The sequence below is a fragment of the Homo sapiens genome, chromosome 4 (assembly GCF_000001405.40).
Source record: "Homo sapiens chromosome 4, GRCh38.p14 Primary Assembly".
Lineage (NCBI taxonomy): Eukaryota > Metazoa > Chordata > Mammalia > Primates > Hominidae > Homo > Homo sapiens.
The window spans coordinates 177,446,221-177,461,667 of record NC_000004.12 but is presented as its reverse complement, the minus strand read 5'-3'; the positions used below and the strand labels follow the sequence as shown (position 1 = coordinate 177,461,667).

The following is a 15,447-nucleotide window of genomic DNA, read 5'->3' as shown; positions in this document are numbered from 1 at the left end:
TTATTACAATTACTTCACGTCAGATAAATGAGAATGTTTATAACCAACAGATAAAAGAGGGTAATTTATATTCAAGTATATAAAATCTAATAAGCCTCTTTGTGAAGAAACGTCTCATATTTAAATAACCTAATGTTGGCTGAGCGCAGTTGCTCCCGCCTGTAATCCCAGCACTTTGGGAGGCCAAGGCAGGCAGATCACTTGAGGTCAGGGGTTCGAGACCAGCCTGGCCAAATGGCAGAACCCTTCTCTAATAAAATACAAAAATTAGCTGGGTGTGGTGGCATGCACCTGTAATCCCAGCTACTCGGGAGGCTGAGGTGGGAGAATCTCTTGGACTTGGGAAGTGGAGTTTGCAGTGAGCCAAGATTGCTTCACTGCAATCCAGCCTGGGTGACAGAGGAAGACTCCATCTCAAAACAAATAAATAAATAAATAAAAATAAAAAATAACCTAATATTTTGGGCTTCATCTTAACCAGATTTTCTTTCATATTATCCTCAGTAGTTATTAACCTTGAAATGTCACCAAACCTGTTGAAAGGGATGAAGAATTTTGGAAGATGGGATGAAATTTAATAGTGACTTAGAATAAATTATTGAAGGAACCAGAACTTTTAAAACTGCTCATTAAGATCAAACGGGTTACATACATAGGAAATATAGCCTGATAGAACATAGATTCAAACACATACCACAAGTTTGCAATGTCATATCTTTGTATTAAAAAAATGATAAAGAAGTGTTCCATTTTGTTCCTCCAGGCCCTATTTTACCAATAATCTAGGTTTCATAACTTGGGGTGGACCGAGAAAATTTGGAACAGCCAGATAATAGCAATATGATGATTAAAGGATTAGTAATACATAGATTTGCACTTGCAAGATTAATTGATGCTTCATAAGACTTACCGTTTTTATAAATGTCAAGTAACTGTTTAGATAATTTAGTTTTTGTTCAAAATGAAATGTTCTTTTGTTCCTCTTCCAAACAACTAGCAATGAGCTGACTGTGCATTTTTTTATGTTAAAATTTAGCTTAAAATCTTTCCTTCAGAGAGGATTATGTCTTCTATTAAATTGTAATTTTGATTATCATAATGTTTTCCCAGCAAGAATATTTGTTTGTTTGTTTTTAACCTAAACTAGATGCTTGACTAGAGGATTCTAACCCACGAATAGGCTAAATCCATGATTATCAAACCCATGTTGGTTAGAATTTAATTAAGTTTATCTGAGATATTATATAAAGATTTGAAAATAAATTGTAAAACACCACCATTCAGCTCCCATAGGATGGTAATAATACTGGATTTTTAAGCTTTTTATTATTATGAATTCATACTAGTTGTACATATTTATGGGGTACATGTGATACTTTGATACAAGCACACAATGTATAACGATCAAATCAGGAAAATTGGAGTATCCATCACGAATCAAGCATTCATCATACTGCTTTTTCTGTAATTCCCCAATGATTAAATAATCACCTTTAGCAGTTATTTGTATCACAGCCCTTATAATCAAGTCATATCAGTTTGAATAGTAGGGGGACAGAGCATCTACCTTGACTGTTGGTTAGGTTCAATAAAATTATAGAGGTGGAAGAAATGTTAGTGATACAGTATTGACCTTAACAGGTACATGAGTTGTGATAACAGTGACCAAGTGATTCTCTATGGCTTTGATTTAGGTCACAGAGTCCTGGAAAGATTTATTTATGTCTAAACTAAACCTACCTGTTGAGCAAAATTCTTCTTGTCCTGTCTTCAGGGTATATATGGATATGGAAACTTTGTCCTTTGCTGTTTGGGATTTTTGAAATGCATTTGATTACAATTTAGGTAACCCTCTTAAAGTCAAAGCTGCTTAAGTTCTCTGTACTCTAATACCCATTTTAGAAGCTAAATTATTCTGTTGCCTTTCACTTCATCATCTTCAAGTTACTTTCCTTAAATTATTTTACTTAAAGAAAAATAATGAGAGGATTACTAATCTAGCATATTTAAAATATCCTCAACATAATCATTTCTTTGGTTGGTTGTTTAAGGAGAAAGAGTGCAGGTGGGTGGTGTGTGGGTACATTCTGAGTCTTAGTTGTTTATGAGACACAATCGGATGTTATTATGTAATATAACATGACCTATTAGTTTGGAAGAAGTATAATTTAAAAGAAAATAATGTGGTTTCTGGAATTAGATATTATGGGTTGGTATGCTAGCTGTACTATTTGGGAGAATTTGGACAAGTTGCTTAACCTTTCTGGGTTTCTTTTCCTCGCCTATAAAGCATGGATAATAATAGTGAGAGGATTAAATAAGTTAACACATGAAATACTCAGGATAGTACTAGGTTCTTGGTAAGTACACAATATGTGGTAGCTGTTCATCGTCATGATGTTATTGTATACATACATGACATATTGACATATTTAGGCTCCTCACATCTCCTAGAGGGAAACCAAAACTCATGGCAGAGTCAGGAAAATGAAAAATAAGCCAAAAACCTCTTTTTTATTGTAGAAGGTCTGACTCTTCAACCTGTCCCTTAATATGAACACTAATTGACTTGGGTACTTTCCACCATTCCCCATTTTTCCCTTACATTTTCCCATACAGGGATTATATTATATATTTATCCTCAAGTATTTTTATTTTTTTCTTTTTTTTTCGAGACGGAGTTTCGCTTTTGTCACCCAGACTGGAGTGCAATGGTGCGATCTCGGCTCATGCAACCTCCGCCTCCTGGGTTCAAGTAATTGTCCTGCCTCAGCCTCCCGAGTAGCTGGGATTACAGGCGTGTGCCACCACGCCTGGCTAATTTTTGTATTTTTAGCAGTGACGGGGTTTCACCATGTTGGCCAGGCTGGACTCGAACTCCTGACCTCAGGTGACCCACCTGCCTTGGCCTCCCAAAGTGCTGGGATTACAGGCGTGAGCCACCGTGCCCGGCCTACCTTCAAGTATTTTTAAAATTCACTAACTCAGGAGATTCTTGCTCACCTCCCATTTTCAAAAGAAAGAGAATTCACATAAAGTGAACAGCCGAAGTCGCTGAAAATTGGTTTTCCTTACACTTTCCCTCCCAGTTACAGCCTTTTTGTTGTAAGGAAGAAGGGGCTATTTGCCATCACTGAAGGGCTTTGGAGCGGCATGGTGAGTTCAGTAAAATTAATTTTTTTTCAGTCAAGTAATGAAACCTCTAACACCAAGTAGCAGCAACTTTCAGTTTAGTTTTTCATTGTCTTCAATTCAATGTACAAAACCTTGTAGTAAAAAAAGCATGAAAAAATTATTTTTTAAGTATTCTAGATGAGAAGAGAAATAGTCTCAAATTTAACAACTGTCAACAGTTAAAATCTAAAAACAGGAGGCATAGTAGGAGTTTAGAACCTTTGTAAATTTAGAATTTTGGTAAACTTGTTTTCTCCTTGTTGTTTCTCACTTTTGACTAATAATTTCCGTGAAATCAAGGCCTGCCTTTCTGTGCTCCACAAAGTTGCTTATATTGCTACTGTTAGCCCCAGTTAGTCCAGGGAATGGAATGTAGAGTACAGGCACCTATAGAATTTAAAGGGGAGATTTCTTTATTTTGTATTCAATGTATTAATAAGATTTTTAAAACATATTTTGGAGAAATTGCTAATTAGTGTATAATCCTGATGCCAATTCTAAAAAACCTTTTTTTTTTTTGTAGAGACAGGGTCTTATTCTGTCACCCGGGCTGGAGTGCTCTGGTATGATCCTAGTTCACTGTAACCTCAAATACCTGGTCTCAAGCAATCCTCCTACCTCAGCCTCCCCAGTAGCTGTCTCTATAAGCATGCACCACCACACCTGGCTAATTTTCTTATTATTTTTGGTAGAGACAGTCTCACTATGTTGCCCAGGCTGGTCTTGAACTCCTAACCTCAAGCAAACATCCCTCCTCGTGCTCCCAAAATGCTGGGATTACAAGCATAAGCCTTACAAGCATAAGCTACCATGACTGGCTTCCAAAAAATATTTGTTTAAATTCTCTTCCCTCCACAAACACACGCAAAAGAAATATAATCTCCCTTCAGTTTTTTTGACAATATACCACTTTCAGTGGTTTATCTTAGACATCTCAAACCTTTAGAAACAAGTCCTGAACTTAAGCGTTCTGCATGTAGAATCAAAAGGAAAATAAACTGCCAAATCTGAAGGTTTGCATTTGAAGTTTGCATTAGTATACTTATCTCTGGATTCCGTTGATTCACATACTCCTCCTACAAGATTTTCCCTAAACACATTTTGAAAAGAAAATGTTGTCTTTACTGAATAATTTCTCTACACACACCCACAATCACTTCTTAGTTTATTTAAATTAGCAATTGTGTCTGCCAGAAGAAAGTTCCATCTAGAGATACAAGGTTGGTTTTCCAATCAGTAGCTGTGGGATAGAATTAAATAAATTAGTCTATGGCCATACCACCCTGAACATGCCTGCTCTCGTCTGAGCTCAGAAGCTAAGCAGGGTCGGGCCTGGTTAGTACTTGGATGGGAGAATTACATAAATTAGTTTTGTTTTTGTTTTCTTCAGACAGAATCTCACTCTGTTACCCAGGCTGGAGTGCAGTGGCATGATCTCAGCTCACTGCAACCTCCGCCTCCTGCGTTCAAGCAATTCTTTCTGCCTCAGCCTCCCAAGCAGCTGGGATTACAGGCCTGTGCCCCACACTTGGCTAGTTTTTTGTATTTTTGTTATAGGCGGGGTTTCACCATGTTGGCCAGGCTGGTCTGTAACTCCTGGCCTCAAGTGATCTGCCCACCTTGGCCTATCAAAGTGCTGGGATTACAGGCCTGAGCCACCACCCCAGCCAGAATTAAGTAAATTAGTTTTAAAGAAAGAAGAAACCATTTTACCTGTATATTGGCTAAATTATTTGATAGCTAACATACATAATATATACCATAACTCTATCTCACTCATTACTTAATATATCCTAGTGTTATTTGCTTTAGATAAAATAATCTATACAGTATTCACTAAAATGTTGCAGTAAGTTACAGTAAAAGTCTACTCCTTTGAAGATGTTTAACAGTAATATAGATTAATTCCATAATTGGGTAGTTATACACAAACATGCCTGAAGACAGTGGAGAAGGCTCACTTTTTCAGGTTTTTTTTCCTTCTTGGACTCCATGATTAGCCACACATACAAAAGGGCAAGGCAGGATTTTAACGTCCTTTCCTTGAAAACATTCGAAATCGAGAAAGAGGTGTGTCTAAGCACAAGAAACGACTGTTGTTAAAACGGTGTTGCTTTCTCATATTTCACATATCTCCAGACATAATGATTCTGGAAATTAGGATAATTACCACTTTGCTCTCCTACTCAGCTTTTATGGATCACCTGATTTTTCTTTTTGTCATCTAGAGAGATGTGTGAACCCAGGTAATTTGACAGCAGATTGTCCCTGAACAGATGTAATTTGAAGAAGACTGAAGAAGCTTCATTCTCTTTAACTATTTGGTTTTATTTCATACAAAGAAAATGAAACGACGGAACAGTTTTTCATTTGGTTTTATTCTGGCAAATGCTATAATTGAAAGTGTAAAACCAATCAATGACACCACCTCTGGTTAAAATTTATTTCTGAGAATTATCCCGAAGGAGTGATTTCTGAGGAATAATATGCAGCCTTCAATTTACTTTATCACAGCTGGATATGAAGTTAAATCCCCAGCTGGAATTTAACCACCTAGAACCAGGCACCAGATGGCTTATCTGCACCTCAACCTGACAGCTGTGTCCTGATATGCACAGCTGGTCTTCACATTTGAATGACAATATTTAAATGATAACATTATGTAATGTAGAAAAATGTGTTTGGGTAGCACGGGTCTTGAAAACTAGATTGCACAGTTGCTCTTAATAGTAAACGCACAGCCTCCACGGCTAATTCACATTCCTTCTATTTGCGTTCATGGGTCTTGGCTGGAGATAAGGGTTTACTGCCACATGGCAACATTCCAGGGCCATTCATACTATACTGCTGTCTATCCATAACGACTCTCCTGGGTACTCACCATGTTAGATTTTCCTTCACATTAAAATAAGCGCAACAGAGTTTCCACTGTGAAGCGGGAGACTTTTAAAATTTTGCAATAATTAATAGCGCATTCTGCTATGGTGGAGGAATTAAAAAGTACGTGACTGGAAGGCAGCTGCTGTGGAGATTCTTCAACATTGTTGGAATATTATTATATCTTAGTTGAACCACAAATATCACCAGGTCAACAAACAGAACAAAATTAATACCAGAATTCAGCACTTTAAATTAAACACTCCGTGAAGGGCAATTCTCAAGGAAATATATTTGAATACATTTCAGATACCAGTGAAAAATCTGACATGTTTCAAATGTGAGATGGATGAATGAATGTGAAAGGGTTCCAGAAAATATAAAGTGGCAAGTTTTCTATTTTCACAATTTGACAGAGATTCCCTATGCTGCTGCTCAAACTCTGATGCATGTATGCACCACCCCAGTGACAAAAAGAAAACTTATCCTTAATGTATCTCCAAAGTAGTCATGGTGAGAAGAAAGAAACATTGTATTTGTAGTAAGGAGCTGTAGATATAGTATCTCACTGCTACTTTTAGTTTCTATAGGTTTGGTCCTGTCATTTAACTTCTATAAACCTCAATGCCTTCACCAGAAAAATGGGAGCTATAGATGATAACACACATGTGACTCTGTTTTGCAAACTGCTATGAAACAGAAGAAAGTGGTGTGACTCTCTTACTGCTTCTTGGTTCTCTAGGGGACTCAGTAAAGAGTAATTCTCTTCCCCACCAGGGTTCTCAGTAAACTGAAATATAAAATTAAGGAGTGGCACAGAGAGGACTGAAGACCACTTTCATAGTTAATAAAGGCTAAGTCAGAGGCCATCCCTTGCTTCGAGAGTCAAATGGACTTCCTAGCATTCAACCCCAGATTTACGCAGCAAGGCAAGACAAAGCAGAGGCAAAGAACACAGTCCCTGTAAGCAGCTCCGGATCAACAGGAACAAGGTCAAAGATGAGGCTGGCATGCCCGGTTTTGTCTTTCAAAATTTATCAATCAAAGAAGCCACTCAAAGCAAAGGAATAGAAAGACAGTGGTTCACTGAATACCCTCGACATGAAAGGAAATATAAGGAGTGTCTTCCTCTAACATTCCTCAGCTTTTCTTCTTATTCCAGATGACTTAAACATTAACGCTTGGTCAGTCAGGGATATGGCTCTCCTCTTTGGAGGAAGATATCATAATCAAGCAGGAGAGTCCTACTCCTACTTTCATGAAGCTACTCTCTCAATACCAGCAATCACTTCTGTGAGTATTTTCCTGAGTCCACTGTGAACAATATAGATTTCAGTCTCATAAGGCTCAGAAAGCTGCTAGAGTACTACATTCATTAAATCAACTCCAAGGTCACTCTGTACCCAAGGCCGAAAATGTATTCCTCATCCTAAACTATGTCCAGTCACATTGTTCAACATAACTAGGTAAAGTTCGGTGCTTCACTTACTCTACTCTACACCACATATCCAAGCCATCACCAAGCCCTGTAGGTTCTTCCTTCAAAACCACTTCTTGGCCAGGCGGTGGCTCACGCCTGTAATCCCAGCATTCTGGGAGGCCAGGGCGGGCGGATCACCTGTGGTCAGGAGTTCCAGTCCAGCCTGGCCAACATGGCGAAACCCTGTCTCTACTAAAACTATAAAAATTAGTCAGGCATGGTGGTGGGCGCCTGTAATCCCAGCTACTCAGTAGGCTGAGGCAGAAGAATCGCATGAACCAGGGAGGCAGAGGTTGCAGTGAGCCGAGATCGTGCCACTGTACTCCAGCCTGGGCTATAAGAGCAAAACTTCATCTCAAACAAAAACAACGACAACAAAAATAAAAAAACAACAAAACAAAAAAAATCCACTTCTCATCACCTCACCATGAGCATCGCACCTCAGCAATTCCATTATGCTGCTTCAATTTCCTCCATGAGTTCTAAACTCTTACTATGCATTTGTTTAGTAGCTTAGGTAAGTTCCATCAGAGTAGGAATTTTGTCTGTTTTATTCACTACTATATCCACAACACCTAAAAACATGCCTGATACATGGTAGGCAACCAATAAATACTTGTGAAAAGAAAAGGGAAAGGAGAGGAGAGCAGAGGAAGGGAGGGGAGGGGAGAGCAGGGGAGGGGAGGGGAGAGCAGGGGAGGGGAGGGGAGGGGAGAGTAGGGAAGGGGAGAGGAAAAAGTAAAAGAGAAGGGAGGAAGGAAGAGGCAGGGAGGGAAAAAGAAGTAAGGAAAAAAGGAAGGCAAATGAAAAGCAACAATTGTTAGGGTTTCTAAGGCTAAGTCACCCTTATATTGCAAGACACCCTCTTCAATTTGTGGTTGAACCTACCTTTGAAGCCTAGAATACAATGTTAGTGGTATATGAAAAGGGCTGTTATCATTTATTACAAACTCCTTATTTTCCAACTCCAGCCTGCACTTTGTCATTATCAGCAATACCAATAGATTTCCCATCAACCAACTAGACTCCCTCTACAGTAAGGGATAACCCTCACTTTTAGTGTTATAACTTAGGTGTTTTAAAATGATACTGAAGAAAGGCAAAAGACTGTGATTAACTAGGATTCAGCAATGTTAGGCTACTTGATTCAAATGGACCCCCATTCATGTTTCACAATCTTTTTTGTTCAGTTATTGCCCATCTTCATAAGACTTTCCATAATAAATCTTTTAAAATGCTTCACCAATTTCTAGTCACCAATTCGATTTCAAATCTGTTGTAATCTTGGCAGGTGATTTTTACTACTCTTAGAGAAGATCAAGATTAGCAGGCATTAATCCCCCATGTTCCTTTAATCTCTTATTCTGAAAAATAACCATCTTTTTCTCCCAGATGGAGAACTGTCATTTTCCTTTCTATCTCTCCTTGAGCACCACAGTCATAATTCTGATGTTGAATGAGGCTTCTTTGGTCCTTGAGATCTAAATAAGATAGGTTTAGACTCTGAATTTATTCTCTTCTGAAGTCCAAAGTCCTTTAAAACGTTTCTAGACATTTACATAGGTCTTAAATTTTCAAGCTCACCTAAGTATCTGAGCTTCTGTTTCTGCATGTGCTATTCCCATTATATACCATGTGGGGTTTGGGGGCTTTTTTGTTTGTTTTTTGAAACATAGTCTCGTTCTATTGCCTACACTGGAGTGCAGTGGCCTGATCTGAGCTCACGGCAACCTCTGACACATGGCAGCCAATAAATACTTTTGAAAAGAAAAGGGAGAGGAGAGGAGAGGAAAGGAGAGGCGGGGAGAGGAGGGGTGGGGAGGGGAGAGGCTGAAGCAATTCTCCTGCTTCAGCCTCCTGAGTAGCTGTGATTACTGGCATGCACCACCATACCCAGCTAATTTTTTGTATTTTTAGAAGACACGGGTTTCGCCATGTTGGCCATGCTGGTCTCGAACTCCTGGCCTCAAGTGATCTGCCTGGTCTGGCCTCACAAAGTGCTGGGATTACAGGCGTGAGCCACTGCTCCCGGCCCCACTGTATACTATGTTGATCCGGAAGCGAAATCCAGATCCTTCAAAATTTTTTGAAAAAAAGAAAGCAATATTGTTGAGTACTGGAGACTTCATTGAAAAGGCCAGGTGGCATCGTTCTGATGATGAGAATAAAGCAGTATTCTACTGGGAGTGTCTGAGAAGGCTTTTGCTTTCTGGATGAAAAGGGAAAGATGTGGCTGATACCAGGTCCTTGTCCTTTTCCCCAGCTTGAATGTGGATGTATGTCTGGAGCAACAGTAGCTGTCTTGTGAAAACAAAGCAGCAAGTAAGTTCTCACAGTTTAGAGCTACTGAACCAATGCCAGCAACTTTCTTATTAGGTGCAAAAAAGTAAAGCCTTGTCGCTTTAAATCACCATTAAGTTTTCTGTTATTTGCAACCGAAAGCACTTAAAGCTAATACAAAATTGCAGAGTTACCATGATCATAACTCTAAACCTATGAAATTCAAGGGGTTTAATGATTTATGAGTTGGGTGCGGTGGTACATACCTGTTAGTCGCAGCTGAGGCAGGAGGATCGCTTGAGTCCAGGAGTTCCAGGCTGCAGTGAGCTATCATTGTACCTTTGAATAGCCACTGCACCCAGCCTGGGAAACACAGCGAGACCTGGCATTAAAAAAAAACATTTTTAAGCTGTGCCTTTATTCTAAGGGCCATCCAGTAATAAGGGAACCTAAACTACTGAGTGTCCTCAGAGCTCTGGGTGCAATTAAAAGTTAGTGGTTTCACAGCTACCCAATTCTGTGGTTAGTAGAAAATTATAAAGATGATAGGAGGATCAAAAAGCCTCTTCCACAGAAGCTACATTAGCTGGGTGTGGTGGCCCATGCCTGGGATTCCAGCTGCTCAGGAGGGTGAGGTGGAAGGGTTGCTTGAACCCAAGAGGCAGAGGATGCACTGCCAATCCTCTCAATCTTGAGCCAAGATTGGACCACTGCATTCCAGCCTGGGCAACAGAGCAAGACACTGTCTCAAGCCCCTCTGATATGAGGGGCTTCCTCATATCAGAGTTCTTATGATACCATTCTCTCAAACCACCTGACTCCCTGAATTTGTCCTGAATTTGGAGAACTGCTTAATCTCTAAATCTGCCCTCTTGAGAAACCTTAGTGTTAGTAACAGACAGCGCTAACTCTGCTTTGTCAGAGTCCTGAATTCCTAATACTGACCTTCACTCATGATCTAGCGTGATGCTATTTTAATTGCTACTGACTATCATATAAACTCAACATAGTATCTGACAGATTAATTCTGAAAAAATTCTTCGTATACAAAGCCAAAAATTTTTACAGCAACAGAAATCAATGGTTAAGTAATTTCTGTGCATCATAAATAGATTTTATACATCCTTTAAAATTACATTGTATCTGCACATGGAATTTTTTTTCAGAGACAAGGTCTCACTGTGTTGCCCCAGGCTGGAGGGCCGTGGTGCAAACAGCTCATTCTAGTTTTGAAACACTGAGCTTGAGCAATCCTCCTGCCTCAGCCTTCCATTTAATAGCTGGGACTACAGGCAGCAGTTGCCACCACAAAGTTAACTTAAAAAAATTTTTTTTTAGAAACAGAGTCTAGCTGCATTGCTCAGGCTGGTCTCTAACTCCTGGCCTCAAGCAATCCTCATGCCTCAGCCTTCCCAGTAACTAGGATTACAGACATGCACCACCACACCCAGGTGCACATGGATGTTTACAGCAGCTTTATTCATAATTCCCAAAACTTGGAAGCAGCCAAGATGTCCTTCAGTAGGAGAATGAATAAACTGTGATACATCCAGACAATGGAATATTATTCAGCGCTTAAATAAAATGAGCTATCAAGCCATGAAAAGACATGGAGGAACCTTAAATGCGTATTACAAAGTGAAAGAAGCCAATCTAAAAAAGTCTCCATACTGCACAATTCCAACTAAATGACCTTCCAGAAAAGGCAAAAACCATGGAGACAGTAAAAAGGTCAGTTGGTTGCCATGAGTTAGAGGGGAGGGAGGGATGAATAGATGGAGTAGAGGATTCTTGCAATACTCTAATGGAATATATGCCAGTATACATTTGTCAAACCCACAGAATGTATAATACCAAGTGTGAACCTTAATATGAATTATGGATGTGGAATGATAATGATGTGTACAATTTGTTCATCAACTGTAACAAATGTGCCATGAGGTCACGAGATCAAGACCACCGCTAACGCAGTGAAACCCTGTCTCTACTAAAAATACAAAAAATTAGCTGGGCCTGGTGGTGGGTGCCTGTAGTCCCAGCTACTCGGGCGGCTGAGGCAGGAGGATGGCGTGAACCCAGGAGGCGGAGCTTGCAGTGAGCCGAGATGGCGCCACTGCACTCCAGCCTGGGCAACACAGCAAGATTCCGTCTCAAAAAAAAAAAAATATGAACTATGGATGTGGAATGATAATGATGTGTAGAATTTGTTCATCAAGTGTAACAAATGTGCCACTCTGGTGGGAAGGCTATCATGTGTGGGGGCAGGGGTATATTTTGTACTTTCTGCTCAATTTTGCTGTGAACCAAAAATTGTTCTTAAGAAATAAAGTCTTCAACTTAAATGTAAGACCTGAAACTATAAAAATTCTAGAATAAAATCATAAAATCTAGGAAAAACTCTTTTGGACATTGGTCTAGGCAAAGAACTTATCACTAGGTCCTCAAAAGGAAATGTGACAAAACCAAAAATAGACTAATGGGACTTCATTAAACCTAAAGGCTTCTGCACAGCAAAAGAAGTAATCAACAGAGTAAACACACAACCTTCAGAATGGGAGAAAATATTTGGAAACAATGCATCTGGCAAAGGACTAATATCCAGAATTTAGGAAGAAATCAAACAATACAATGACAAAAACAACAAATAACCCCATTAAAGAGTAGGCAAAGACATGAACACATATTTTTCAAAAGAAGACATACAAGTGGCAAACAACCATATGAAAAAAATGTTCAGCATCAGTAATCATCAGAAAAATGCAATTTAAAACCACAATGAGATACCATCTCATACCAGTCAGAATGGCTATTACTAAAAAAGCAAGAAACAGCAGATGTTGGCAAGGATGTGTAGAAAAAGAAACACTTATACACAGTTGGTGGGAATGTAAATTAGTATAATCTCTATGGAAAACAGCATGGAGATTTCTCAAAGAACTAAAAATAGATCTACCCTTCGATCCAGCAATCCCACTACTGGGTATCTAACCAAAGGGAAAGAAAGCATTTTATCAAAAAGACACCTGCACTCAAATGTTTATCACAACACTATTCACAATAGCAAAGTCATGGAATCAACCTAAATGTCCATCAGCAAACAACTGGATTAAAAATGTGATATATGTATATATACACACACACACCATGGAATACTACTCATCCATAAAAATGAATGAAATCATGTCGTTTGCAGCAATGTTAATGGAACCGAAGGCCATTATCCTTAGTGAAATAACTCAGAAACAGAAAGTAAAAAACTGGATGTTTTCATTCGTAAGTGGGAGCTAAACAATGAGTACACACAGACATTTAGAGTGGAATAACAGAAGACTCCAAAAGGTAGGAGGGAAGGAGGGGGTGAGGAATGAAATACTACCTTTTGGGTGCAATGTATCCTGTTTGGGTGATGGGTACACTAAAAGCCCAGACGTCACCGTTACTCAATATATACATATAACACAACTACACTTATACCCCGTATCTATAAAAATAAAAAATTAAATAAAATTTTTTTAAATCTTCAGAGAACATGTTATAGAGGTCCTTAGCGGTTTTCTGGGGTACTGACAATATTCTGTTTGTTTATATAAGTGGTGATTACATAGCTGTTCATTTTCTACAAAATTATTTAATCTATTTATTTACATTTTATGTCCTTTACTGTATTTACATTGCACAATGAAGGTTTTTAAAAAGCATAAATTTTAATGATATGCAGAGGTCAAAGAGATATTAAATAAAAAAGCAGGTTCTACAACAGTGTGTATAATACCAAGATTTTTCACCAAACAGATACATATCAAAATGTTAAGAGGCTGGTGATTTTCAACAAGAGCTAGAGTATTTCAGAGATATTTGAAGGACACAAAAGTGTTTCTAAAAAATGAAAAAAATAAGCTATGTTATGTGAAAATCTTTCCTTTCATATTTTTATATGAATGATTGAGAATTAACAGACTATTTGTGTAGCTACACACAGGATACATGTGTTCATTATTTGGATAGTTTTCTAATACTCATTGTCATGATCGACAAGTAGATATCATTTTAAATGCATAATGTACTTCCTGTAAGTCACTGTTAGTTTAGAAGTTTGCTTTTATTGTTGAATTTCTTTATTGAAATCATCTGTCACACTACCTTAACAATGTCAAAGTCATTTTTTAAGTGGTAGGAAGACATCCTGACATCTACTCTGTTGCCCTAAGGCTTTACTATTGTAATGGATCACATTTATGATGACATCATAATGTTATAAACAACTGTCACAAAAAGCAAGATCCACCATGTTTAATAGTCTACTATGTCCTTGTTATGAAAACTATATCACAGCAGTGGCCCAGTATTACAATTACACATTGAAAATATGTTGTACATAATTTATTTTGATAAGAAATAACTTAATAGGCCCACATTCTACTGCACAATCTTGGTCTTTATAAGTCACTAAGATGACTTTTAAAGGTTAAAAAGTCAAAAAAGTTTGTGATTAGAATCTGCTATTGATTTGACAAATGGTTTTGGGGGCATGACCCAGAAAAATTATTTCAGAAGAGAAGAATGCTCTCTTTTCTCATTTAGAGAATAAGAGGATGACACTTATTTCTGTATAATGACTCTAATTACATCCAGAATGTACAATCAGGTAGTAACATCAAATGTTCCCAGATTAATGTAGACATTGATTTAAATTAGAAACACAGTACCACAATGCTCTAACATCAGCAAAAATCATTACTTACAGTTTATGAAACTGACAGGAGCAAATGCCAATCAAGTAAATAGCCTATATTTAGATAACCTAGGTAATAGTTCAGTGGGGAGTTTTGAAAAAGAAATTATCATTTCAATGCCAAGTCAGGCTTACAGCTTTGAACAAGTAGCAAAACATGGACATGTTTCTCAAATGGATTTCACAGCATCAGTGCAAAAGCCGGAGGGGATGGCTTAGTTTTTTAAGCCTCAGAATTGAAATACCTAGACTCCCTGCAACTACAGCATTAAATCCTCTGTGGAACCACAGCTTCAAATGCTATCAGGAGGGACTCAACTCTTCATCCTTCTGAGACTGATAAATTGAAAGCCATGAAGTTTAGAGGAAATAAGAGAGCCTGCAGCGGTCTGAAACTCCTCCACCCACCTCCAACACACACACATACACAAACACAAACACACAAAGGCTCTATTTGCAACATCACTTAAGATTCCATTTGAGGCTTTCCCCTTGTTAAGACTTAAGGGTGTTGTTTTTAAGACATCCAGAAATCTCACAGTCCTGCCATGCACCATCTTTATAAGCATTCAAACCAAATTTCAGGCAGCTCCAAGTAAACTAAAAACATTATTTTTAATTCTCATTTAATATATTCAAGGAAATTCTAAGTGATTACTTTCAAATGCATTATAGGTATTGGGCCAACTCTTTATTCTTCCTGTGGAAATTTCTGTGTCTCAAATTGATCAAATTGATTTCTTTTTACTGCCTTGTATGTTTCTGGACTGCCTCCTTGACATCAATTATAGGTACTTGGGAATGGCAAATTAGAATAAGAGAATTTTATTTAATTTGCCTGGTATTACACCATTCTCCCACATCTCCTACCTCATTCACAAAGCTTTGTAAAATAAGAAAGAAT

At 38.3% G+C, this 15,447-nt stretch overlaps 1 long non-coding RNA gene and 1 pseudogene across 25 annotated transcripts in view; one reads left to right on the top strand and one right to left on the bottom strand.

Annotated features, from left to right (window-relative positions):
* Positions 1–15,447, bottom strand: part of AGA-DT (AGA divergent transcript) — a 255,397-nt gene that overhangs the window by 236,243 nt on the left and 3,707 nt on the right. For 10 of the 25 annotated variants that reach the window (NR_183795.1, NR_183801.1, NR_183777.1 and 7 more), the window contains exon 2: positions 10,078–10,193. The exons of the other annotated variants lie outside the window; for them this stretch is intronic. This is a non-coding gene — a long non-coding RNA (AGA divergent transcript). The remainder of the gene's footprint in view (positions 1–10,077; positions 10,194–15,447) is intronic. 25 annotated transcript variants of the gene reach the window in all.
* Positions 4,440–4,529, top strand: RNA5SP172 (RNA, 5S ribosomal pseudogene 172; annotated as a pseudogene).